We start from the raw sequence: 24567 nt of genomic DNA on the forward strand, positions 1-24567 counted from the left end.
TGATAGGGTGGTTTATAGATACACTGAGGGTCCTACGGGGTTCCCTAGTTCTCAGCCCCCTCAGTTAGGGCTCTCAAGCAAGAAAAGCCTTAACGGTGGGTGTGAATTTTACTGTGTGGATCATGGAGTTAATGTGGAATGATAATTAAGTGCTAGGCAGGATTAGATTACAATTTGGGAAGTTCACACCATCAGTTGGATGACACTAATCCATTCAAGTAGTGACTCATTCATTTTAATTTCAGAGGAAACCTTCTCGTCTAACCTTTAGGACAAATTGGAGGGCTGTTAATTTTACACTGATTCTGGTTTAAATCCTTGGAAAATCTTAAGCCGCTTCACTCTGGGAACTTCAAACTTCTTGTGACTAGAACCTTCCTGATGTGTTGTTTTGAAGATGCAATAAGACTGGGTCAATAAAGTGCTCGATACAAGGTCATTTTGCCAAACAGTTGTGACAATTATTTTCTGGTGCATTTTCTCATACTTTGTGATATTTTCCCTTCTTAACCACTGAGGTGTTGACAATGGGTTGGAGTTAAGAATGGAATTAATGGCCGGGCGCGGAGGCTCACGCCTGTAATCCCAGCACTTTGGGAGGCCGAGGCGGGCGGATCACGAGGTCAGGAGATCGAGACCACCCTGGCTAACACGGTGAAACCCCGTCTCTACGAAAAATACAAAAAAGTAGCCAGGCGTGGTGGCAGGTGCCTGTAGTCCCAGCTACTCGGGAGGCTGAGACAGGAGAATGGCATGAACCCGGGAGGCGAAACTTGCAGTGAGCGGAGATCACACCACTGCACTCCAGCCTGGGCGACAGACCGAGACAGCGTCTCAAAAAAAAAAAAAAGGAATTATTCACTGGAATTAACTGGGAGCTGCCTAAACCACCATCTTCCTATCTGCTTCCCCCGAATCCTCCCCTCTGGAAACTCACAGTCTATTTCTGTGAAGTATGTTGTTGGTATTTTGGTAGGGATCGCATTGAATCTGTAGATGTCTATTAATAGTATGGTCTTTTTCACAATGTTGATTCTTCCCCCTACGAACATGTCTTCCCATTTTCTGGGGTCCGCTTTAATATTTTTCATTAGTGTTTAACAGTTTTCCTTGTGGAAATCTTTCACCTCCTTAGTTAAATTTACTTCCAGGGTTTTGGGGTGTCTTTTGCTCTTGTAAATGAGATTGCTTTCTTGATTTTTTTCTTGCCACTAGTTCGTTGTTGGTGTATAAAAACACTACTGATTTTTGCATATCGACTTAGTATCTGGCCACCTTACTGAATTGGTTTATCAATTCTAAGAGTTTTACTGGTGGAGGTTTCAGGGATTCTTATAGATGACATCATGTTGTTGGCAAAGAGAGACAATTCGACTTCCTCCTTCTGAATTTGGATGCCCTTTGTTCGTTGCTCTGGTTGAGACTTTCCCAACACATTATTATTAACGAAGGTCACCAGGCTGAAGTTTGGAAACAGGTATATATTGTGATGCAATCGCCAGGACCAAGCTAGTTAACATCTCCCTCAACTCACATAGATACCACGTTCTTTCCTTCTTCTTATTTGTTTAATTCTCAATTATTGGGCTCAAGCAATCCTGCTTCAGCCTCCCTAGCAGCTAAGACTACAGGCACGAGCCACATCTGGCTTTCTTTTGATATCGTTTTTTTTTTTTCTTTTTGAGATGGAGTCTCATTCCATCACCCAGGCTGCAGTTGCAGTGGTGCGATCTTGGCTCACTGCAACCTCTGGCAGGAGGATTGCTTGACCCAGGAATTATGGACATAAATAGATAATGAAAAGAAAATAGTCACTATGTGAGTTGACGAATACATTAATTAGCTTGATTGTAGTGATAATTACACCATGAATAGGGATATGTAAACACCAGCATGGTGACCTTAGTCACCAAGGACGGATAGAGGCCAGGAATTGGAGAGCAGCCTGGGCAACATAGCGATACCCCCATCTTTACAAAAAAGTTTGTTAATTAGCCCAGTGTGGTGGTGCTTGCCTGTAACTCCAGATACTCAGGAGGCTGGAGCAGGAGGCTCTCTTGAGCCCAGGGGTTCAAGGCTGCAGTGAGCTATGAGTTTTCCATTGCACCCAGCCAAGGTGACACAGTGAGACCTTGGCTCTAAAAATAAATCAATCAATAAACAAATTTATCCACACAGGTAGGAGATCTCTACAAGAAAAACTATAAAATACTGATGAGAGGAAATGAAGAGGGCACACAAATGGAAAGATAGTCCATCTTCATAAATCGGAAGAATTCACATTGTGAAAATGACCACACTATTAAATAGAGATCTACAGATCCAACTCAATCCCTACCAAAATGTCAAGGACATTCCTCATGAGAACATGACATGTTTCAAGAGGAGAGGATTGGAGGGAATTGGGTAGGTAGATGGTGGTTTTAGGCAGATTCTAGTTCATTCCACTTAATAACTCCATCTGAACTCTGACTCACTATCAATACCTCAATTCTTAACAAGGAAAAACATCACAGAGTATGAGAAAATGCATCAGAAAATAAGTGTCAGAACTTTTTGGCAAAATGACCTTGTATCGGGCACTTTACTGACATAATCTGGTTTTTTGTTTGTTTGCTTTTTGAGATGGAGTTTTGCTCTTGTTGTCCAGGCTGGAGTGCAATGGCATGATCTCAGCTCACTGTAACCTCCGCCTCCCGGGTTCAAGTGATTCTCCTGCCTGAGCCTCCCGAGTAACTGGGATTACAGGCATGCGCCACCACGCCTGGCTAATTTTGTATTTTTAGTAGAGATGGGGTTTCTCCATGTTGGTCAGGCTGGTCTCAAACTCCTGACCTTGTGATCCACCCGCCTCAGCCTCCCAAAGTGCTGGGATTATAGGCGGGAGCCACCACTTCCGGCCAACATAATCTTATTTAATCTTCAAAACAACATGTCAGGAAGGTAATAATTCCCTGGTTCTAGTCACAGGGAGTTTGAAGTTTCCAGAATTCAGTGGGTTAAGATTTCCTAAGGATTGAAACCAGAATCAGTATAAAGTGCACTTAATTGTCATTCCACATGGTCTCCATGATCCACACAGTAAAATTCATACCACCATTAAGGCTTTTCTTGCTTGAGAGGCCTAACTGAGGGGGTTGAGAACTAGGGAGCACTCAGTATGTCTATAAACCACCTCCCATCATCCTAAAGTGAATGCAGAGTGGGGACCATGTGCCTTCCTCTGGTTCCCACTGTTTTTACCTAAGAGTAGGTTGGCTGATATCAAAGCAGTGATTTAGCCTAGTTCAAGCACAGCTTTCCCATGTCAATTCCCAGATTTTGAAAAGTGAAAAATTATCACTACTACTCATTATGTATCAACAATGACTGTCCCTTTTTTTTTCAATATCTTGACATTCACATGTGAAAGCTTTCCTTAAACTAGAGCAAATCACTGGTTTGATATTATTCAACCAACTCTTAACATGTCCTTTACTCATTAGGATATTACTGTCTGTGCCATGAGGGGACGCAAAGTGGTTAAAACTTGCAGATCTATAGTCCCTGAAGCCTCCAAATACTTCAGAAATATGAAATGTAATTCAGTAGAGCGGGAAAACCTATGTTATTTGCATGGTAGGCATGTTTAATACATTAATTTCCTGTGGGTGGGGTTTCATTGAGAAATGTAATCAATGCTAATCACCTTCAATGGATTCTATGGCCCTAAACCAATCATGTGGGGGCCCAGGGGACTGGAAGAGAGGCCTGGAGTCCCGGGGGTTCTCTATAAATAGACAGTTCAGCTCCAGAGCAGTTGGAGAGCACATCCTAGAAGAGAGGAGGCTGGAGGCAGAAGTCAGGAAGGAGGTAAGTGTCCACTGGGGATGTCTGTGGGGTTTTGGAGTTGGCCTGCAGGGGTTGGTTTCAGAAAGATTTGGATTGAGGGGTTGGTTTCAGAAAGATTTGGGTTGGGGTGTTGGTTTCAGAAAGATTTGGGTTTATTTTTTCATGCATTTGCCCGGACACCTTGTGAAGGCAGTGGGTCTGCTTTGCACCCTATTATTTATTCTGACTTGTTATATAACTCTCCCTTAAAATAGGAATAATATTAACTTTCTCATCGTGGTTAGGCTACATTTTATTTTTTAGAGATGAGATCTCTCTCATTGCCCAGACTAGACTGGAATTCCCGGACTCAAACGATCCGCCTGCCTCTGCTTCCCAAGTAGCAGGAACTACAGGCACTTGCCACCATGCCTGAATAAATGTTTAATTTTTTTTGTACAGATGGGGTCTCAGTACATTGCCCAGGCTGGTCCTGAACTCCTGGGATCAAGCATGCTCCCATCTTGGTCTTCCAAACTGTTGGAATTACAGGTGTGAGCCACCTTGCTGGCCACACACCACTTGTTAAAAAGCATCGCTGGATTCTCCCTTTCCACAGGGTAAAATCAGCCATTGATGAATGGGCATCAACCTACTAGGCCAATGAGAATCTGCACTAAGTGTCCCTACCTGGGGGTCCTGTGTGCTGTATACTCCCAGAATTGAATACTAACCCGCGTACCTGCCTTTATTTTTTCCCATGTCCCATTGCTTGTTTTAATGGGAAATGAACTGACAGCGAATACAAAGTGGTTTCTAGGAACATGAACCCCTTTTTTTAGAGACAGGCTCTCACTATGTTGCCCAGGTGGTTGTCAAACTCCTGGGCTCGAGGGATCCTCCCTCCTCAGCCTCCTGAGCAGCAGCAGGTGCCCTGTGGCAAAATCATTTTTAATTCCAGAATTTCAGGCTGCCTTTTCTCTCTCATATCCATATGCTTTTTCAAAAAAAAAAATTTACTTTTAAATTGAAAAACAAGAAAGATACGTATTTATGGTGTACAGCATAATGTGCTTTGCAGGATAGAAACAATGTAAAATGGGTAAATTGAGCTGATATTCACATGCCTTACTTTATGGACTAATCATTTTTGGTCATGAGGATGCTTAAAGTCTACTCTTTAAGCAATTTCCAATTATACAATACATTGTTATGAACTGAAGTCACCATGTTGGACAATTGCTCTCTTGAACTGATCTCTTCAACTGAAATTCATACCCTTAAACCTATATCTCCCCAACCCTCACCATAGCCCTGTTAACCACCATTCTACTCACTGCTACTATGAGTCTACTGGGAATTTTTTTTTTTTTTTTTTTTTTTTTGGTGACAGAGTTTTGCTCTTGTTGCCCAGGCTGGAGTGCAATGGCGCGATCTCTGTTCACCACAACCTCTGGCTCCCGGGTTGAAGTGATTCTCCTGCCTCAGCTTCCCAAGTAGCTGGGATTACAGGCATGTGCCACCAAGCCTGGCTAATTTTGTATTTTTAGTACAGACGGGGTTTCTCCATGTTGGTCAGGCTGGTCTTGAACTCCCGACCTCAGGTGATCCGCCCATCTCAGCCGTCCAACGTGCTGGGATTACAGGCGTGAGCCACCACACTCAGCCTGAGTCCACTAGGTTTTTAATTATTGTTTACATTACCTACTTCTTTTATTTTAAAAACTATTTTATAATTTCAAGTTTTATTTTAAATTTGGGGTGTACCTGTGCAGATGTGTTACATGAGTATATTGAGTGATGCTGAGGTTTGAGGTATGACTCTACCCATCACCCAGGATGTGAGGATAGCAACCAATAGGTAGTTTTTCAACCCTCCCTCCCTCTATCCCTCCAGAGTTTCACTGTTTTGGAGTCCACGTCCTGATTTCCTTTCCTCTGTGTACCTGCCCCAGAGCGGGATTGCCGGCTCATGCAGTTGTTGGACTTTCAATTTTCTGAGGAGCTTCTATACTGTCTCCCATATCGGCTGCTCTAATTTACATCCCAGCACAGGGCGCAGAGGACCCCTTTCCCCCGAATCCTCACCAACACTCGTTCCATGTGTCTTTTTGGGAACAGCCACTCTAGCAGGCGTGAGGGGTGCCTTGTGGTTTGGATTTGCATGTCCCTGATGATGAGTGATGACGAGCACCTTTTCCTAGACCTGCTGGCCATTCACATGTCTTCATCTGAGATGTCCACACGGGCGCCTTAAGCCCCTCTAGTGGGTTGTTTTCTCGCTCTGGAGGAGTTTGAGTTGCTTATGTTTTGCACAGGAGCCCCGTGAGATGTGTGGTGTGTAAATATTGTCTCCTCCTCTGGGTTGTCTCCCGCCTCTGCCGATTGTCTCCCTGGCTGTCTCTCTGTTCTGCACTTGCTCAAAGTCCTTCCAGGAAGTGTGGGGCACTCGCCCTCCAGGCTACCAGTGACTTTTCCCAAGACCCTCCTGCCAGTTTTTTCTCCCCTCTGCAGACCTTCAGGTTGCTTCCCCCACCTGTGTCTAGGAAAGCAGGGCTGTGTTCTCATAGCTGTTGAACTTGGGTGATAATTGATGCCTGGAGAGTATTACTCAGTGGCTCTTGCCTAATGAAGCTAGGTTTAGGAATTAATTTTTAAAAATCTTATTATTGTATCAACCCACTTCTTTAAAATATCAAAGAGCACTAGACTTTAAATCCATTTTCTGAGATGAGATTAGGAATAGAGAAACCCTTAGAGACAGAAGGTAGATTAGTGATTGCCAGGGGCTGGGGTGGGTGGGCAGGCGGTGATCACTGATGAGGATGGGGTTCCTTTTAGGGTGATGAGATAATTCTGGAGCTAGAAACTAGACAGTGGTAATGGTTGCACAACATGGTGCATGTCTTAGTCCCATGAAATTGTTCACCTGAAGAGGGTAAAAATGATGAAATTATGAATGTGCATTTCACCAAAATAACAAAATATCTGTGTAGGAGCTTAATCCTCATAGGATTCTTTAGTGCTGTCCCTTCTCTGGAGCGAATAATTCTGGGATTAAGAGGGTTTGTTGTGGGACAATATCTTACGTTGTAACTATTTTTATTTGTCTTATTGCATAATTATGACTAAGGATTTGCCTTGGATCTTATCTTGATAAGAAAACATAAAGAATTGACATGATTGTTATATCAGATTTTAGGCGCTTCACATTCCTGTCCTATTTTATTTACAGTCAAAAACAATGTTGTTCGATGGGCAGGAAAACCAATTCAGCCTTTGCACAATGATCCCCTAGAGATCAGAATCCAGGGGAGTATTCAGATTTTACTCCAGAACATGTGGTCAGGTGTAGACACTGGAAGAATAACAGAGTGGATTGATTTCCACGGTGCTGAGTCCAATGCTAGAGGGGAAGTGGGGTCTGGGATTGGGATGAGGGATTTGGAAGGATGGGGTGGGTAGAGTAGAAACTTTAACAGAGCTCATGCTTTTTTTCCCTGCAGACTTCTGAATGAACAGTGAATCTATTACTGAGAAAAACCAGGGGTGGCCTGTGTATATAGGTCGCAATTAGACACCGGCTTCTGGAAGAGCTTTCCCAGAGACAGATTGAAATATTCCCCAGTAGACATGGCTGCAAATTGCACATCCTCATGGAGTCTAGGAGAATCCTGCAACAGCCCTGGGTCAGAGCCACCACAGTCCATGCCATCCCCAGCAACTCAACTTGGAAATCATGACAGTGATCCTGAGACTTGTCACGTGAACTTCAGGATGTTCAGCTGCCCGAAGGAGTCGGACCCCATCCAGGCTCTGAGGAAACTCACTGAGCTGTGCCATCTGTGGCTGAGGCCCGACCTCCACACCAAAGAGCAGATCCTGGACATGCTGGTGATGGAGCAGTTCATGATCTCCATGCCCCAGGAGCTCCAGGTCTTAGTCATGATGAACGGTGTGCAGAGCTGCAAAGACCTGGAGGACCTGCTACGAAATAACAGAAGACCCAAGAAATGGGTGAGTGGGACCCTCGTGATTGGTGCAGGGAAGGGGAGCTGGGATGGGGGCTGCATGGTGCAGCTGGACTCGAGAGGACCCGAGGGGCTGCTCTAGGTCAGGGCTTCCAAGTAGAGGAGAGTTTGCCCATCAGGGACACATGGCAGTGTCTGGGGACAGTTTTTATTGTCACAAGGGGGAGGACAGGAGACGCTGCTAAGCATTCTCCAAAGCTCAGGACAACCCATCATGACAAATAATCTTCCAGATTCCAATATCAGCTGTGCTGAGACGGCAAGTTCCTGGTGTAGGAGATGGACAGGCAGAGGGGGTACAGGGACCCACACACTGTGTGAGGCCAACATGAAAGAAAGACATTGGTGAAATATTAGGCCTGATGGAATGTAGGGAAGGAGGCATTAGAGTGAACTGAAGGGGGGCCCAGAAATACCATCCTGAGGCAGGGAAAGTGGCTGGTATCAGAGATTCAGGGATCTGCCTCCAGGTCCGCACATGAGCCCGCCATCAGCCAATTGAGTTGGATTCACCCAGAATATTTCTCCCTCTTTTCTCTTTGGTTTAGAGACCCTTTCATCTAAAGGACTCATATTTATATACTTATCTAGAAAAGAAAAAAGTTCACACAGAGCTGATTCTGCATCGGGAAGGCAGATTTGAACATTAATTACAGTAAAGTGTGAGCATTATGGCAGGACCCAGGGAATATGAGAGCTACTTTCAGGTTCTCATAGTTAGTCTGATTGCTTTTTTTCTCTCTATAGTCTGTAGTCAGTTTTCTTGGCAAGGAATATCTTATGCAGGAATCAGATGTGGAGATGGCTGAAGCCCCCGCCAGTGTCAGAGATGATCCGAGACACGTGTCCAGCCAGCGGACCTCCTCTGTGAACCAGATGTGTCCGGAGGAAGGCCAGGCCAGCCAAGAGCTGCAGACCCTGCCCAGGGTCCCTGCACTGTTCAGGAGGCAGGTGGGTGTGTGAGGCCTTGGTGTCTGGGCAGAGGTGGGAGAAGGAACGGGAGGAAATCGTGTGGCCACTGGACTGATTGAGAGATTTGGCACAGGACAAGATTACAGCCATTCCCCATGGACATGGTACATCCCCAAACATTCATTCCTGAGCCATCACAGAGAGGGAAGCTTCATCTACTTTTCTCTCCACCATGAGAGCTTTTAGCATGTAGGGTGGGGGGTAAGAAATGGTCTCGGTGAAATAACGGAGGCAGTTGGCACAGATGAATGAACTGAAGGTCCCATCCCCATCCAGTTTCCTCAAAGACATTTAATGTAATAATTCAGCAGGGAACTCACCTCCTACAGATTGTCAATTTCTTAATTTGAGGAGTGTTTCTCAACTGGGGTGATTCTGCCTTTCCGGACACATGGCCATGTCTAGAGACATTTTTGTTGTCATTGTAGGGGGTGGTGGGGTGTTGATAGCATCTAGAGGGTGGAGGCGGGGTCTCTGCTCTGCACAGGAGCGCCCCCTCCAGGAGGGTGATGCAGCCCCAATGCCAGTGGTGCCAGGGGTTAGGGGCCTCCACCTAGAGTCATGCTCCTTCCAGCGTCAGGGGCAAGGAGATGCTGGCACAGCGGGGAGAAATATGCCCAGAGAACCAAACAGTGAAAACCACCACACCTGTGTCATTAGAAGAGTTGGTGCATCCAGTCAGGAAAAAGCAGACATGTCCTTCCACCGGTTTAGGCATGGCAGTCATTGCTGTTGGTTTTCCATTCTCAGGAAGAGGACTTCCTGCTGCCAGAGACTACTGTCATGAAAGGTGACCCAAAGGCTCTGAGACCCAAGCCGACCTTGGAGAAGGACCTGGAGGAAGACAGGGAGGAGAACCCAGGACTTACATCCCCAGAGCCTCAGCTTCCAAACAGTCCCAGTAAGTATGAAGACTTACACCTGTGTGGAGATAGCCCCTCTCTTCTGGGGTGTGGGGCTGGGGTCCCAGCATTATCATGTCTGGGGGAGTTGGCACTCAGCTGCCAAAGCCTCTCCATCCCTTACTCTCCAGAGACCTACAGTCCAATGTCTTAGGTTTAAGGTTGAGGGGAAGTTGTCAGCCAACATCAGTGTTTGGTTGCAATGAGTTTGGTGTATTGAAAATGCACCTTATTAACTGTGTGTGTGGAATCCCTTCTTCCAGCAGGGGTGGTGGGAGCAAAGGAGGGGAAGGAACCCCAAAAAAGAGCCTCTGTGGAAAATGTGGATGCTGACACACCTTCTGCCTGCGTTGTGGAGAGAGAAGCTTCGACTCACAGCGGGAGCAGAGGAGACGCTCTGAATCTGAGAGGTCTCAAAAGAAGCAAACCAGACGCCACCTCCATTTCCCAAGAAGAGCCTCAAGGAGAAGCCACACCTGTGGGCAACAGAGAATCCCCGGGACAAGCTGAGATCAATCCAGTTCATTCCCCAGGCCCTGCGGGCCCAGTCAGTCACCCCAGTGGCCAAGAAGTCAAGGAACTGCTGCCCTTTGCATGTGAGGTGTGCGGCAAGAGGTTTAAGTATCGCGGCAAGTTAGCCGTCCACACGAGATCACACACAGGCGAGAGACTCTTTCAGTGTAATCTCTGCGGGAAGCGCTTCATGCAGCGCATAGGCCTGCAATTTCACCAGCGAACCCACACTGGCGAGAGGCCCTACACGTGTGACATCTGCCAGAAGCAGTTCACCCAGAAGTCCTACTTGAAGTGTCACAAGAGAAGCCACACAGGGGAGAAGCCCTTCGAATGTAAAGACTGCAAGAAAGTTTTCACCTACAAGGCAAATCTGAAGGAGCACCAGCGCATCCACTCTGGAGAGAAACCCCACAAATGTTCCAAGTGTCCAAGAGCCTTCGGTCGGCCGGCGACCTTAAGACGCCACCAGAAAACACATCGAGAAGCCACTTCACAGTGACTTCACCATCGGGTCTGTCTTCTGCACCAAGAAAGTGTGAATGAAGATTTTTCACCGATGTTGTCAGATGACGTTTGACAGATGAAGGGCGCCTGGCACGCAGAGGAGTGCCCTAGATAGGAATTCCTAGGATGTTTGTTTAAATCTTTTTCCTCCCCGGGGGAATTTTGGTTTTTGTTTCATTATTTCTATTGTTTTAGGTTTATTTTGGTTTGTGTTGCTGTTCTTTCAATAAACATCTTATTAGTTTTCAATATTTTGTAACAAAAAACAGTCTCCTGATTGACATGCTGTTGTTATGCACTGTTTTGCTATAAAGTACAATTGTCCAAGGAGGGTGTCCGGATTAAATACACGATATGCCTCGGGAAATCTGGGTTTCAGATAAACGTTTTTTGTTTTTTTAGTATCAGCTTGTTCTAAATTATTCATTATTTATCTGAAACTCAGCTTTTATTAGGTATCCTAAATAGTTTTCTTTTTTATTTTTTTTTCTATTCTTTTTTTTGAGATGGGGTCTCCCTCTGTCAACCAGGCTGGATTGCAGTAGCAGGATCATCGCCCACTGCAGCCTCGACCTTCCAGGCTCAGGCAGTCCTTCCGTCTAAGCCTCCCAAGTAGCTGGGACTACAGGATCATACCACCACTTCGGCCAATTTTTGTGTTTTTTTGTGGAGATGAAGATTTGCCTTGTTGCCCAGGCTGGTCTTGAACTCAGAAGTACAAGTGGTCCAACTGCCTCAGCCTCCTTAAGTGCTGGCATTACAGGCATGAGCCGCTGTGCCCTGTATTGTTTTTATTAGACTTTATTATAATTATGATATTCAAATTTTTGGAAATAATTTTTTGTAGTGATGGGATTTTTTGTTGCCCAGGCTGGTGTGGGGTGAGCCACCACGCCTGGCTAACGACTTTCTTTTTCAGAGCTGTCTTAGGTTCACAGGGAAATTCAGTGGACAGCGCAGAGTCCCCGTAGACTCCCACCCCACACAGCACAGCCCCTCCCCGCCCAGCATCCCCAGCAGAGCGGTGCACCTGTTCCATCAGTGAGCCTGCCTGGACATATCACCACCACCCAGAGTCCATGGTGTTCATTAGGGCTCGCTCTGGGTGTTGTACATCCTGTGGGTTTGGACAAAGGCCTCATGAGTACCCACCACTGGAGTATTGTGGGGGGGGTATTTTCACTGCCCCCCCCGAATCCTCTCTGCTCTGCCTATTTATCTCCCCGCCCCAGATGGTGTATTTTGTGGCCTAAATTTGGCAACCTCTAAATTCCTGATTTGACTCTTGAACTACGGAGGCATTGGGAGTCTCTGGTGACTAGTTGGTCTTAGTGATAGTACCATCCCCTGAAGCCTTTGTTGATCCAGAGATGGGTGGACCCCAAACTCAGAGCTTCTGATTTAGTAGGCCGGGGGTGGGGCCTGAGAGTGTGCATTAAAACAGAATTCGTAGGCCGGGTGCGGTGGCTCTCGCCTGTAATCCCAGCACTTTGGGAGGCTGAGGTGGGCAGATCACTTGAAGTCAGGAGTTCAAAACCAGCCTGGCCAACATGGCAAAACCCCATCTCTACTAAAATACAAAAATTAGCCAGGCGCAGTGGCACGTGCCTGTAGTCCCAGCTACTTGGGAGGCTGAGGCAGGAGAATTGCTTCAGCCCGGGAGGCAGAAGTTGCAGTGAGCCAAGTTTGTGCCACTGCACTCCAGCCTGGGCAACAGAGCCAGACTCAGTCTCAAAATTAAAAAAAAAAAAAGAATTTGTTTTAGAATAGCTTTCTAAAGTCCATTGAGCTCCCTACTGTCCCCACACCATTTCCTCTATTATTTTTTGTTTGTTTGTTTGTTTGTTTGTTTTGAGATGGAGTCTCACTCAGTCACCCAGGCTGGATTGCAGAGGCACGATCTTGGCTCACTGCAACTTCCACCTCCTGTGTTCAAGCGATTCTCCTACCTCAGCCTCCCATGTACTGGGACTACAGGCATGTGCCACCACACCCAGCTAATTTTTGTATTTTTTTAGTAGAGATGCGGTTTCACCACGTTACCCAAGCTGGTCTCGAATTCCTGACCTCAAGTCATCCGCCCATCTGGGCCTCCCAAAGAGCTGGGATTACAGGTGTGAGCCACTGCGCCTGGCCTCCCCTATTGTTAACATGGTACGTTAGTATGGCACATTTGCCACAAGCGATGAACTGACTGGATATATTGCCGTGATCTAAGGCCCATACCTTATTGAGGCCTCCTTAGTGTTTACACAATGACCTCCTCTTCCTTCCTCCCCATCCAGGATGCCACATTGCCTTGAGTTGTCACGTCTCCCTAGGATCCTCTTGGTGACAATTTCTTAGATTTTACTTGTTTGGGATCACCTGAGAATGTGCATTTTAGGTGGTGCTGATGCTGCTGGTCTTGGGAGAACATTTTATGGATGAGCTGACAGGCAGAGTCCTGCAGTCTGCAGAGGTCTGGAAAGGTCCCTTCCCGAATAGGCTGGATTCATTTATTAAAGGCCACTTTTGTAAGACTTTGGTTCTTGTCATCTTAATTTAAAGGAAATTTATCAAGAGACACACAGCAAAGAGATGCATCATAGAGTAACTATTGCAAAGGAAATAGAGTATTTTGAAAGTTAAGGGCAGAATAGACAGGACATCCTGGGAGCAAGGATTCAGGGCCAACTGCTCCTAAGGATGAGACAGCAAAGACCCGCTAGAGGGAGACTCCCCTTTATGGGAGTCTCGGATCATTACACAAGGGGGTGGGAAGAGGTGTTACTAGTAAGCATGTTCTGGGTGGTCCCCTGGGCACACAGGTGCAGTAGCTGTGCACACGTCTCTTTAGCATCTTAAGTCTCCACCCAGGGGTGTGTTTTTTACTATTATAACGAGCAAAGGGTCAGTTTGTGAACAGGTAAAATCACAATGCTCATGTTCTCTACAGGGAAAACTCCCTTTTGTAGATGGTTTTGTGTGAATGAACTCAATTAGAAAGTGAAGGCTGGGGCTGATTGTGTTGGCTGTACGGTCCCCATGGGTGCTGCGTTTGGAGGACATGGTCACCTTCTTGACTACCTATCCTGACTCACCCAGGTCCATTTAGGAGAAAGAGTCCTTGAGGTAGAAACCTGAATCCGCCATCAAATGTACACAGACTCCCGTTTAATTCAAGAAGTGGATGTTTGGTGGGTAGTGGTTCTCCATTTAGATATTGGGTCCAACATCCTTCTCCAGACACAGAAAATGTGTTGATGATACCACCTGCCCACTTAATTTAAATCATGTTTCTCTATGATCCATTAACCACATCCGACATTTCTTTAGAGCTTCATTTCCCAATTTTCCTACATGTTGGACTCACTTGAGGTGTTTTTTCAATATTTTTTTAAAAAGCAATGCCTGGGGTCCAGCCCCAAGGTAATGATGTGATTGGTTGAGGATGTGGCCCCTGTGTTGAGAGTTTATAAAACTCCTCAGGTGATCAAATGTGTGGCTGAGTCTGGCAGGTCGGTTTTCTGATTGTCTGGTCACTCCAATTCCTGTTCTCTCATGGGGATCAGTGAGTTCATTTCCACGGAGAGTCATGCACCTCCATTCCCAGTCTAAAGAAGGTAGACTCCACAGCTGGCTCCCACCCACCCTGCACGGGGGTCCCTCCCACTGTGGCTGGCTACATGCACCACTCCAGGGACTGCCCCTCATGGCTCTGGGCACATGTGGCACTGGGTGGCCTTTGCACTGCTGCTCCTTATCCACCTATGTGCTCTGAGCCAAGAGCTTGATTTACCTGATGTGACAATGAAAACAGGATACCCACTGCAACCTCAAAAAAGCCCAGTGCGGCTGGGCGCAGTGGCTCATGCCTGTAATCCTAGTATTTTGGGAGGCCGAGGTGGGTGGATCACCTGAGGTCAGGAGTTTGAGACCAGACTGGCCAACATGGTGAAACCCCATTTCTACTAAAAATAAAAATTAGCTGAGCATGGTGGTGCACGCCTGTAATCCCAGCATTGCATTCCAGCCTCGGTGACAGGGCAAGACTCAGTCTCAAAAAAAGCGCCATGCTAGGGATGACTGAATTGAATTTAGAAGGTGCCCTTGCTTTCAGAAAAACAACAACCCAACACTGCTTAATCTACCCAACCCGGAGCCAAATCTGCACCAACCAACCACCTGGCCCACCTGGTGGCTTTTCAGACTCTGACCTTGACGATGGGACATGAGGTGGGGAAGGAGGTGGAAGCACAGCTAGGGAAGAAGGGGCAAGAGACCCACTCCCCTGGCATGATCCCTGGGGTCTTGGAGGCTGGGCCGGTCAACATGGCTGCAGTTATTTCTAGCTTTCTGGATTCCCAGAAAAAAACAGCTGTACTTCAAAGAAAATGCAGAACAAGGTGAGGTCGACGTGGAAAATCATCCCAACATCAGCCAAACGGAACTGGGCTCTGCTATCCGAGTGCACTCAGGCCAAACACCCACGTGAAGCTTTTACAGTGAGAGAAAGGAAGACATTTATTTGCAGGGCACCAAGCAAGGAGAATCGGGCAGCTAATGTTTAAGACCTGAACTCCCCCCATGGCTTAGGAGTAAGGGTTTTTTTTTTTGTTTTTTTGTTTTTTTTTGTTTTGTTTTTGAGACGGAGTCTCGCTCTGTTGCCCAGGCTGGACTGCAGTGGCACGATCTCCGCTCACTGCAAGCTCCGCCCCCCGGGTTCATGCCATTGTCCTGCCTCAGCCTCCTGAGTAGCTGGGACTACAGGCGCCATTTTTATGTATAAATTTATAAAGTTAATATTGATAATGACAGACAGAAAATAATGCCTTCTCTAAGAATGTGTGACCAACCACCATCCTTCCCTCATGGGGATGTGGAGTTTCCCTTGTCTTGGATGCCTAACAGAGCTGTCAATCACCACACATCCTAGACCGACCACATCTTTCCCCACCTCACGTAAGGGTGGCTCCAGCCCCCTTGATGTGCAATCCACAAGATTTGTGGGGTTATCCTTGATTCCTGCATTTCCCTCACATGACACACTCAGTCTCTCAACAAATCCTATACCTTAATTAATGTGTTTACTGACATGAATTTCACGCGACATAAAATTAACTGTTTTATCTGTACAGTTTAGTGGCATTTGGTGCATTTACACTGCTGTGCGGCAGCTCCTCTAGCTGGTTCCTGTGCCTGCATGTCCAGAGTCCAAGTTCTGACATTTGTACATACTCATGAAGTCATTGCCGTCATCAAGAAGCTGAACATCCCCACCATCCTCCAACGCTTCCCCAGGCTCTTCATCATCTGTCCCTCCCACAACTCCATCCCTGGACAACCACTGGTGTTCTCTGTGTCATTACAGATCACTGACAGAATTTCCTTATTTTTGCCTTTTTTTTCTTTTTTCTTTCTTTTTCTTTTTTTTTTTTTTTGAGACAGTGTCTTGCTCTGTTGCCCAGGCTGGAGTGCAGTGGCACAATCATAGCGCACTGTAGCCTCAGCTTCTCAGGCTTAACTGATCCTCCCACATCACCCTCCCAAGTCGCTGGGACCACAGGCACACATCACCATGCTCGGCTAATTGTTTCTATTTTTTTGTAGAGCTGGGGTCTCACTATGTTGCCCAGGCTGATCCTGAACTCCTGGGCTCAAGCGATCTGCCTGCCTGGGCCTCCCAAAAAGTGCTGGGATTACATGCATGAGCCAGTGTGCCCAGCCTAGGGGTAGAATTTTCTAGCGATGGAATCATACCTTATGTACTCCTTTTCTATCTGCCCTCCTTCACCTTCATAATTATTTTGAAATTCACTCATGTTCTTGGGTGTAATCAATGATTCCTTTTTACTGCTGAGTAGTATTCTCAACTTCATTGAATTGTACCCTTTGCATATGTGTGATTTATTGTATATCAACTATACCTCAGTAAAACTATACGAAAAAGATAAGGGGTTCTCTGTTTTTTGTTTTGTTTTGTTTTTGAGATGGATTCTCACTCTGTCGCCAGGCTGGAGTGCAGCAGCATGATCTCGGCTCACTGCAACCTCTGCCTCCCGGGTTCAAGCAATTCTCCTGCCTCAGCCTCCTGAGTAACTGGGACTACAGGCGCACACCACCATGCCCAGCTAATTTTTGTATTTTTAGTAGAGACGGGGTTTCACCACATTGGCCAGGATGGTCTCGATCTCTTGACCTAGTGATCTGCCTGCCTCAGCCGCCCAAAGCGCTGGGATTACAGGCGTGAGCCACCATGCCTGGCCAGGATTTTCTTAAAACTTAAAAACAAATTCAGCATTTGACCAGTTCTCCCCATTTCAACTTTCAGTATTCATGGTCAAGCCAACAGCCATCAACCTGGATGACTCTGTTGCCATCCTCACTGAGCTCCTGGTTCCTTCCCTTCCCCTATATGGGCTGTTATCTTTTTTCTCTTTTTTCTTATTTTGTTCTTTTTTTTTTTTTTTTTTTGAGACAGGGTCTTGCTCTGTCACCCAGGCTTGAGTGCAGTGACACAATCATAATGCCCTGCAGCCTCAACCTCTCAGGCTCAAACAATCCTCCCACCTCAGCCTCCCCAGTACCTGAGACTACAGGTGTGCACAACCAGGCCTTACAATTTTTTTTTTTTTGTATATTTTGTAGAGATGGGGTTTCATCATGTTGCCCAGGCTGGTCTTTAACTCCTGAACCCAAGCTATCCACCTGCCTCAGCTTCTCACAGTGCTGAGATTACAGGCATGAGCCACCGCGGTTGGCTGTATGGGCTATTTTCAAGGCATCTTCTGAGAAAACGCTAAAGAGAAGTCAGAAAGCTACTCTATGAAGGCAGAGGCATTCGTTGGAGCTCTGAGTGATGTACCTGCAATGTCTAGATTCTAGTTTTAGGAGTCGGCAGAGTCAGCCCAATTCTATGTGTCAGACCAATTCAATGACTGAAATAGTGGCAGCTCCACCTACTAGTACAATGGGTCAAGTTTTCACATTTCACTTGTTCCTACAGGATGGGGCCTGGCAGGCTTGAGTTGAGATTTATGCTTGTTTCTATGTAGCTTTGGATCGTTGTGAAAGCCAGGTCATTTCAATCATTTTGTGCAAACATCATTGTGTGTAAAAACGGTGTCCACGTTTTGTCTTTGAAATGGTCCCCGCCCTCCGCTCGTTATCGTGTTGAGAATGAAATGAGAGGACATGCTTGGCACCTGGAGATGATTGGATATTACAGCTGTGCGCCATAAGGGCAAATGGTTCCATTGTTTGATGAGCCGTCCTGGCGGTGGGTGGGTCGGTCACTTCTAAACAGATAAGGAATGGCTAGAAAGCTCTTGTACCAAACCAGCTTGAAGCAACCTCACCCACACCGAATCCCTCCACGTTTCTTTTCTTTTTTCTTTCTTCCTTTTTTTTTTTTTTTTTTTTTTTTTTTTTGAGATAGAGTCTCGCTCTGTCGCCCGGGCTGGAGGGCCGTGGTGCGACCTCGGGTCACTGCAAGCTCCGCCCCCCGGGTTCAAGCAATTCTCCTGCCTCAGCCTCCGGAGTAGCCGGGATTACAGGCACCCGCCACCATGCCCGGCTAATTTGTGTATTTTAGTAGAGACAGGGAGGGTTTCACTGTATTGTCCAGGCTGGTCTTGAACTCCTGAGCTCAGGCAATGCGCCCGCCTCGGCCTCCCAAAGTGATAGGATTACGGGCGTGAGCCACCGTGCCCAGCAAATCCGTCTACTTTTCTTTTTTCTTTCTTTCTTTCTTTTCTTTCTTTTCTCCCAACCCCCCTCCCCCCGTCAAACAACCAACAGTTTTTTAACACAGAAAGTAAGGCATAATCCAGGGCTTGGACTGTCTTTCAAGAAAACCCCAAACCCGCTGCCAGGAAGTCACAGCCACTAAGTCCCATCCCAGGCCCAGTTGCTGCCAGGAAACACACCGCGTGGAGACCCAGCATGACTGCTGACTGATTGCAAGTCCCCAGGAGGGCTTTATTTTTGCTTTTCAACATCCTGTTCTGCAGGTTCCTTGGCTCTTTTTGCCCGTATGCCGAAGAGCCGGGCATTGGGACGGGCCATGCGGAGACTAGCGAAGGCTTTGAAATTCTTCTCCTCGATGATGACTCCAGCTTTCTCCTTCTAGGCATTCCGGTTGGGCATGACCGGTCCTGTCAGCCGAGCGGCCAGTTTCAGTTCTTCAGCAGAACTGTCTCCCTTCTCGGAGGCCGAGGGCTTCCCGGGGAAGCGGATGCGTTTGGAGCGGGGCTCCTTCAGCCGCCGCACGTTGGCCTGCAGGGACTGCGCCTCCTCGGATCCGCAGAAATGCCGGCGTCCGGGCCCCCTTCTTCGCGTGCCGGCCACCCTGAGCTCCTCCAGGCGGAGGCCGCGGCCGTGCGCACCTTCGTGTGGTACCGAACCGTGGGGCAGCGCACGATGGGCCGGATGGGCCCCGACGCGGGGCAGGGGCGAGGCGGCGCGCCTTGGCTTGCCCGGCCTGGCGCCTGCGGATCTTCTGGGCCGGCTGGTTGAACCGCTTGGCCACGCGCCGCTGCAGTCCTTGGGGAAGCGGGGCTTCGAGATCGTGCCGTTCCGGCTGGGCGCCGTGGCTGCCTACGGCCCTGCGGCTGCAGACCAGAGGGGAGCCACCGAGGGGAAGGTCCCTGCGCGCGCGCACCCCATCCCCGGCCTCCGCCTCTAACCTCCCAGCCTGGGCCGGAGGCCGCCCCTAGAGCCCGGGCCCCGGTCCAATGCTGTCTGCGAAGAAGGGGCCCATCCATGCCCGCGTTGGCGGCAGCGCCAGGCCGATGGCGCTGGATGGAGCCCGAAGGCCGAGACCCCAAATCCCTCTGCTTTTCTAAGAAATCGCCCTCCAGTCTTTTTTTTTTTTTCAGATCTGTAACTTGTTTTCACCCCTGATTTAAAACAATACCACTGTTCTCCCCCAAATTTTCCTTTGATACAGTAGGTGAACAAAATAGATTTTTTTCCCCACAAATATCAGCAGACACTTCTTGGCACCCCACACTGTATTGGCATGGGTGTTAACAGTCCCAGTTCAGGTGTGCAGCCTTTCAGGTGGATGCACTGTAACAAGGATGTAAATGCGGAGCCATCCTAAGAATCACATTCAGTCATGGGGTTGCCCTTCCAAGCTGGCAGAAAAGGAACCCGGGCCAGGCACCGTGAACACACACAGTAACTCATGCCTGTAATCCCAGCACTTTGGGAGGCTGAGGCGGGTGGATCACGAGGTCAGGAGATCGAGACCATCCTGGCTAACATGGTGAAACCCCGTCTCTACTAAAAATACAAAAAATTAGCTGGGCGTGGTGGCGGGCGCCTGTAGTCCCAGCTACTCGGGAGGTTGAGGCAGGAGAATGGCATGAACCCGGGAGGCGGAGCTTGCAGTGAGCCGAGATCGCGCCACTGCACTCCAGCCTGGGCAACAGAGCAAGACTCTGTCTCAAAAAAAAAGAAAAAAAAAAAAAAGAAAATCGACCTGCCAGACTCAGCCACACGTTAGATCACCTGCGGAGTTTTATAAACTCTCAACACAGGGGCCACATCCTCAGCCAATCACATCATTACCTTAGGGCTGGACCCCAGGCATTGCTTTTAAAAAAAATATTAAAAACTCCTCAAGTGACTCCAACATGTAGCCAAATTAGAAAATGAAGCTCTAAAGAAACATTGGATGTCATTAATGGATCATAGAGCACCATGATTGAAATTAAACGGGCAGGTGGTATTATCAACACATTTTCTACGTCTGTGAAGAAGGTTGGACCCAATCACCAAAAGGGAGAACCACCACCCACCCCTACCTCCACTTCTTGAATGAAAGGGGAGTCTATGTACATTTTATGGTGGATTCCAGGTCCCTGCCTCAAAGAATGCTACTCCGAAACGGACCTGGGTGAGGCAGGATAGGCAGTCAAGGAAATGACCACGTCCTCAGGATGCTGCACGCGTGGTGACTGTACAGTCAACACAGTAAGCCTCAGCGTTCACATTGGAATTGAGTTCATTCAAGCAAGGCCATCTCCAGTAGGGTATTTCCACTGTAGTATTTCCACTGTAGAGAGAATGTGCACGTTGATCTTACCCATCCACAAACCGACACATTTCTTGTTATGATAGTAAAAAACACACACCTGGGCGGGCAGTTAAGACGCTAATGAGACATGTGCACAGCTACTGCACCTGTGTGCCCAGAAGAGCACCCAGAATATGCTTAGTAGTAACACCTCTTCCCACCCCCCTAGGTGTAATCATCCAAGACTCCCATAAAGGGGAGTCTCCCTCAAGCAGGTCTTTGCTGTCTCATCCTTGGGAGCAGCTGGCCCTGAATCCTTGCTCCCAGGATGTCCTGTCTATTCTGCCCTTAACTTTCAAGATATTGTATTTCCTCTGTAATCAATTATTCTATGATGCATCTCTCTGCTGTGGGTCTCTTGATTAAATTCCTTTAAATTAAGATGACAAGAACCAAAGTCTTACAAAAGTAGTCTTTAATAAATGAATCCAGCCTATTTGGGAAGGGACCTTTCCAGACCTCTGCAGATTGCAGGACTCTGCCCGTCAGCTCAATCAGCCATCCATAAAATGTCCTCCCAAGACCAGCAGCATGAGCACCACCTAAAATGTACATTCTCAGGTAATCCCAAACAAGTAAAATCTGAGAAATTGTCACCAAGAGGATCCTAGGGAGACGTGACAACTCAAGGCAATGTGGTGTCTTGGATGGGGAGGAAGGAAGAGGAGGGCATTGTGTAAACACTAAGGAGGCCTCAATAAGGTATGGGCCTTAGATCACGGCAATATATCCAGTCAGTTCATCGCTCCAGTCAGTTCAAAGGTGCCATCCTAATGAACCATGTTGGCAATGGGGGAAGCCATGTGGGGCATTAGGGAGCTCCATGGACTTTAGAAAGCTATTCTAAAATGAATTATATATTTTAATGCACACTCTCAGGCCCCATGCCCGGTCTGCTCAATCAGAAGCTGAGTCTGGGGCCCACCCACCTGAGGATTAACCACGCCTTCAGGGGATGGTAGTATCACTAAGACCAACTAGTCACCAGAGACTCCCAATGCCTCTGTAGTTCAAGAGTCAAATCGGGAATTTAGAGGTTGCCAAATTTAGGCCACAAAATACACCATCTGGGGCAGGGAGATAAATATGCAGAGCAGAGAGGATTCCGGGGGCAGTGAAAATACCCCCCAGGATACTCCAGTGGTGTGTACTCATGAGGCCTTTGTCCAAACCCACAGCACGTACAACACCCAGAGCGAGCCCTAATGAACACTATGGACTCTGGGTGGTGGTGATATGTCCAGGCAGCCTCACTGATGGAACAGGTGCACCACTCTGCTGGGGATGCTGGGCAGGGAGAGGCTGTGTTGTGTGAGGAGGGAGTCTAGGGGAACTCTGTGCTGTCCACTGAATTTCCCTGTGAACCTAAACAGCTCTGAAAAAGAAAGTCTAGAGCCAGGCGTGGTGGCTCACCCCACACCAGCCTGGGCAACAAGAAATCCCATCACTACAAAAAATTATTTCAAAAATTTGAATATCATAATTATAATAAAGTCTAATAAAAACAATACAGGGCACAGCGGCTCATGCCTGTAATGCCAGCACTTAAGGAGGCCGAGGCAGTTGGATCACTTGTACTTCGGAGTTCAAGACCAGCCTGGGCAACATATCAAAATTCCATCTCTACAAAAACCACAAAAATTAGCCAAGTTGGTGGCGTGCTCCTGTAGTCTCGGCTGCTCGGGAGGCTTAGATGGGAGGATTGCTTGAGCCTGGAAGGTCGCGGCTGCAGTGAGCGGTGATTATGCCACTGAACCTCAGCCTGCGTGACAGAGGGAGACGCCATCTCAAAAAAAAAAAAAAAGAAAGAAAGAAAAAAGAAAACGAAAACTCTACAGGATACCCAATAAAAGCTGAGTTTCAGATAAATAAATAATTTAGAACATGCTGATACTAAAGAAAATTGTTTATCTGAAACTCAAATTTCATCAGGCATTATGTATTTTATATGGCCACCCTCCTTGGACAACTGTACTTTACAGCAAAACAGTGGGTAACCCCATGTCAATCAGGAAACTCAGTTTTCCGTTATACAATATTGAAAACTAATAAGATGATCGTTTATTGGAAGAACAGCAACACAAACCAAAATAAACCTATAAGAAAACAATGGACATAATGAAACAGAAAACAAAGCTCAGTGGGGAGGACACATATTTACTCAAACATCCTGGCAATTCATATCTAGGGCACTCCCTCTGTGTGTCAGACGCCCTTGCATGTGTCAAATGTCATCTGATAACATTGATGAAAAATATCATTCACTTCTTCTTGGTGCAGAAGGCATAGACCGGATTATGCAATCACTGAGAAGTAGCTTCTGGATGTGTTTTCTGGTGGCGTCTTAACAATTTCAGCCGACTGAAGGCTCTTGGACACTTGGAACATTTGTAGGGTTTCTCTCCGGAGTGGATGCGCTGGTGCTCCTTCAGGCTCCCCCTGTAGGTGAAAACTTTCTTGCAGTCTTTACATTCGAAGGGCTTCTCCCCTGTGTGGCTTCTCTTGTGACACTTCAAGTAGGACTTCTGGGTGAACTGCTTCTGGCAGACGTCACACGTGTAGGGCCTCTCGCCAGTGTGGGTTCGCTGGTGAAATTGGAGGCTAATAAGCTGCATGAAGCGCTTCCCACAGAGATTACATTGAAAGAGTCTCTCGCCTGTGTGTGATCTCTTGTGGATGACTAGCTTGGAATTACACGTAAACCTCTTCTCGCACACGTCACATGCAAAGGGCGGCAGTGCCTTGGCTTCTTGGCCATCCGGGTGACTGACTGGGCTCGCAGGGCCTGGGGAATGAATTGAATTCATCCCAGCTTGTCCCGGGGATTCTCTGTTGCCCACAGGTGTGGCTTCTCCTTGAGGCTCTTCTTGGGAAATGGAGGAGGCATCTGGTTTGCTTCTTTTGGGACTGCTCAGATTCAGAGCGTCTCCTCTGTTCCCGCTGTGAGTCGAAGCTTCTCTCTCCACAACGCAGGCAGAAGGTGTGTCAGCATCCACATTTTCCACAGAGGCTATTTTTGGGGGGTCCTTCCCCTCCTTTGCTCTCACCAGATCTGCTGGAAGAAGGGATTCCACACACACAGTTAATAAAGCGCATTTTCAATACACCAAACTCATTGCAACCAAACACTGATGTTGGCTGACAACTTCCGCTCAAGCTCAAGCCTAAGACATTGGACTGTAGGTCTCTGGAAAGTAGAGGATGGGGAGGCTTTGACAGCTGAGTGCCAACTCCCCCAGGGGATGATAATGCTGGGCCCCCAGCCCCGCACCCCAGAAGAGAGGGACTAACCCCTGTGGATCCAAGTCTTCATACTCACTGGGACTCTTTGGAAGCTGAGGCTCTGGGGATGTCAGTCCTGGGTTCTCTTCCCTGTTTTCCTTCAGATCCTTCTCCAAGGTCTGCTTGGGTCTCAGAGACTTTGGGTCACCTGTTACGTCAATACTCTTGTGTAGCAGAAAGTCCTCTCCCTGAAGAGGAAAAACCAAGAGTAATGACTGCTGTGTCCAAACTGGTGGAAGCAGGGACACATCTGTCCCCTTCTGATTGGATGCAACAACTCTTCTAATGACACAGGTGTGGAAATACGTGCAGACTTCCCCTGGACCACCCCATCACCCCACGTAAACATCACCATCTCATTTCTGTGTCTGTCCCTAATCTGCACCCTCCATATTCCAAATCAGCTCCTGTGCCTGGTGGTTTTCACTGTTTGGTTCTCTGAGCATATTTCTCCCCGCCGTGCCAACGTCTCCCTGCACCTGAC

The 24567-nt window shown here is 47.5% G+C and overlaps 2 protein-coding genes and 1 pseudogene across 25 annotated transcripts in view, besides 1 other annotated feature; 1 reads left to right on the top strand and 2 right to left on the bottom strand.

Annotated features, from left to right (window-relative positions):
• Positions 1-3802: 3802 nt before the first annotated feature.
• On the top strand, positions 3803-10991 carry ZSCAN5C (zinc finger and SCAN domain containing 5C). 2 transcript variants are annotated; one of them, NM_001358413.3, is made up of 5 exons: positions 3803-3852; positions 7317-7827; positions 8589-8792; positions 9564-9714; positions 9979-10991. In NM_001358413.3, the coding sequence occupies exons 2-5, from the start codon at positions 7444-7446 to the stop codon at positions 10728-10730; spliced, it is 1491 nt and encodes a 496-aa protein (NP_001345342.1). In that variant the 5' UTR covers positions 3803-3852; positions 7317-7443; the 3' UTR covers positions 10731-10991. The 2 variants fall into 2 exon arrangements, with proteins under 2 accessions (NP_001345342.1, XP_047295186.1); XM_047439230.1 differs by lacking the exon at positions 3803-3852 and having other exon boundaries at positions 7008-7827; positions 9982-10730.
• Positions 9708-9877: an enhancer, noted in NCBI's record as "experimental_51953 CRE fragment used in MPRA reporter constructs". NCBI's record gives its function as "activates a minimal promoter by MPRAs in K562 erythroleukemia cells, with activity observed for both the introgressed and non-introgressed 19:56719632 variant alleles {active_cell/tissue: K562}" and the evidence as "EXISTENCE:reporter gene assay evidence [ECO:0000049][PMID:34662402]".
• Positions 18504-19360, bottom strand: RPL13P13 (ribosomal protein L13 pseudogene 13; annotated as a pseudogene).
• Positions 22833-24567, bottom strand: part of ZSCAN5A (zinc finger and SCAN domain containing 5A) — a 146976-nt gene continuing 145241 nt past the window's right edge. For 13 of the 23 annotated variants that reach the window (NM_001322072.3, NM_001322078.3, NM_001322077.3 and 10 more), the window contains 2 exons: positions 24121-24271; positions 22833-23856 (listed from right to left, as the gene is read on the bottom strand). In NM_001322072.3, the coding sequence (NP_001309001.1) occupies positions 23105-23856; positions 24121-24271 (903 nt within the window). In that variant the 3' untranslated portion in view covers positions 22833-23104. The remainder of the gene's footprint in view (positions 23857-24120; positions 24272-24567) is intronic. The other 10 variants (NM_001322073.2, NM_001322074.2, NM_001322061.4 and 7 more) reach the window with 1 other exon arrangement.

Source organism: Homo sapiens, chromosome 19 (genome assembly GCF_000001405.40).
Source record: "Homo sapiens chromosome 19, GRCh38.p14 Primary Assembly".
Classification (NCBI taxonomy): domain Eukaryota; kingdom Metazoa; phylum Chordata; class Mammalia; order Primates; family Hominidae; genus Homo; species Homo sapiens.

Coding starts and splice junctions, on each gene's coding strand:
- ZSCAN5C (NM_001358413.3), top strand. CDS start 7,444: ATGGCTGCAAATTGCACATCCTCATGGAGTCTAGGAGAATCCTGCAAC. Junction 8,793..9,563: donor CTGCACTGTTCAGGAGGCAG/GTGGGTGTGTGA, acceptor TTCCATTCTCAG/GAAGAGGACTTCCTGCTGCC. Junction 9,715..9,978: donor TCAGCTTCCAAACAGTCCCA/GTAAGTATGAAG, acceptor CCCTTCTTCCAG/CAGGGGTGGTGGGAGCAAAG.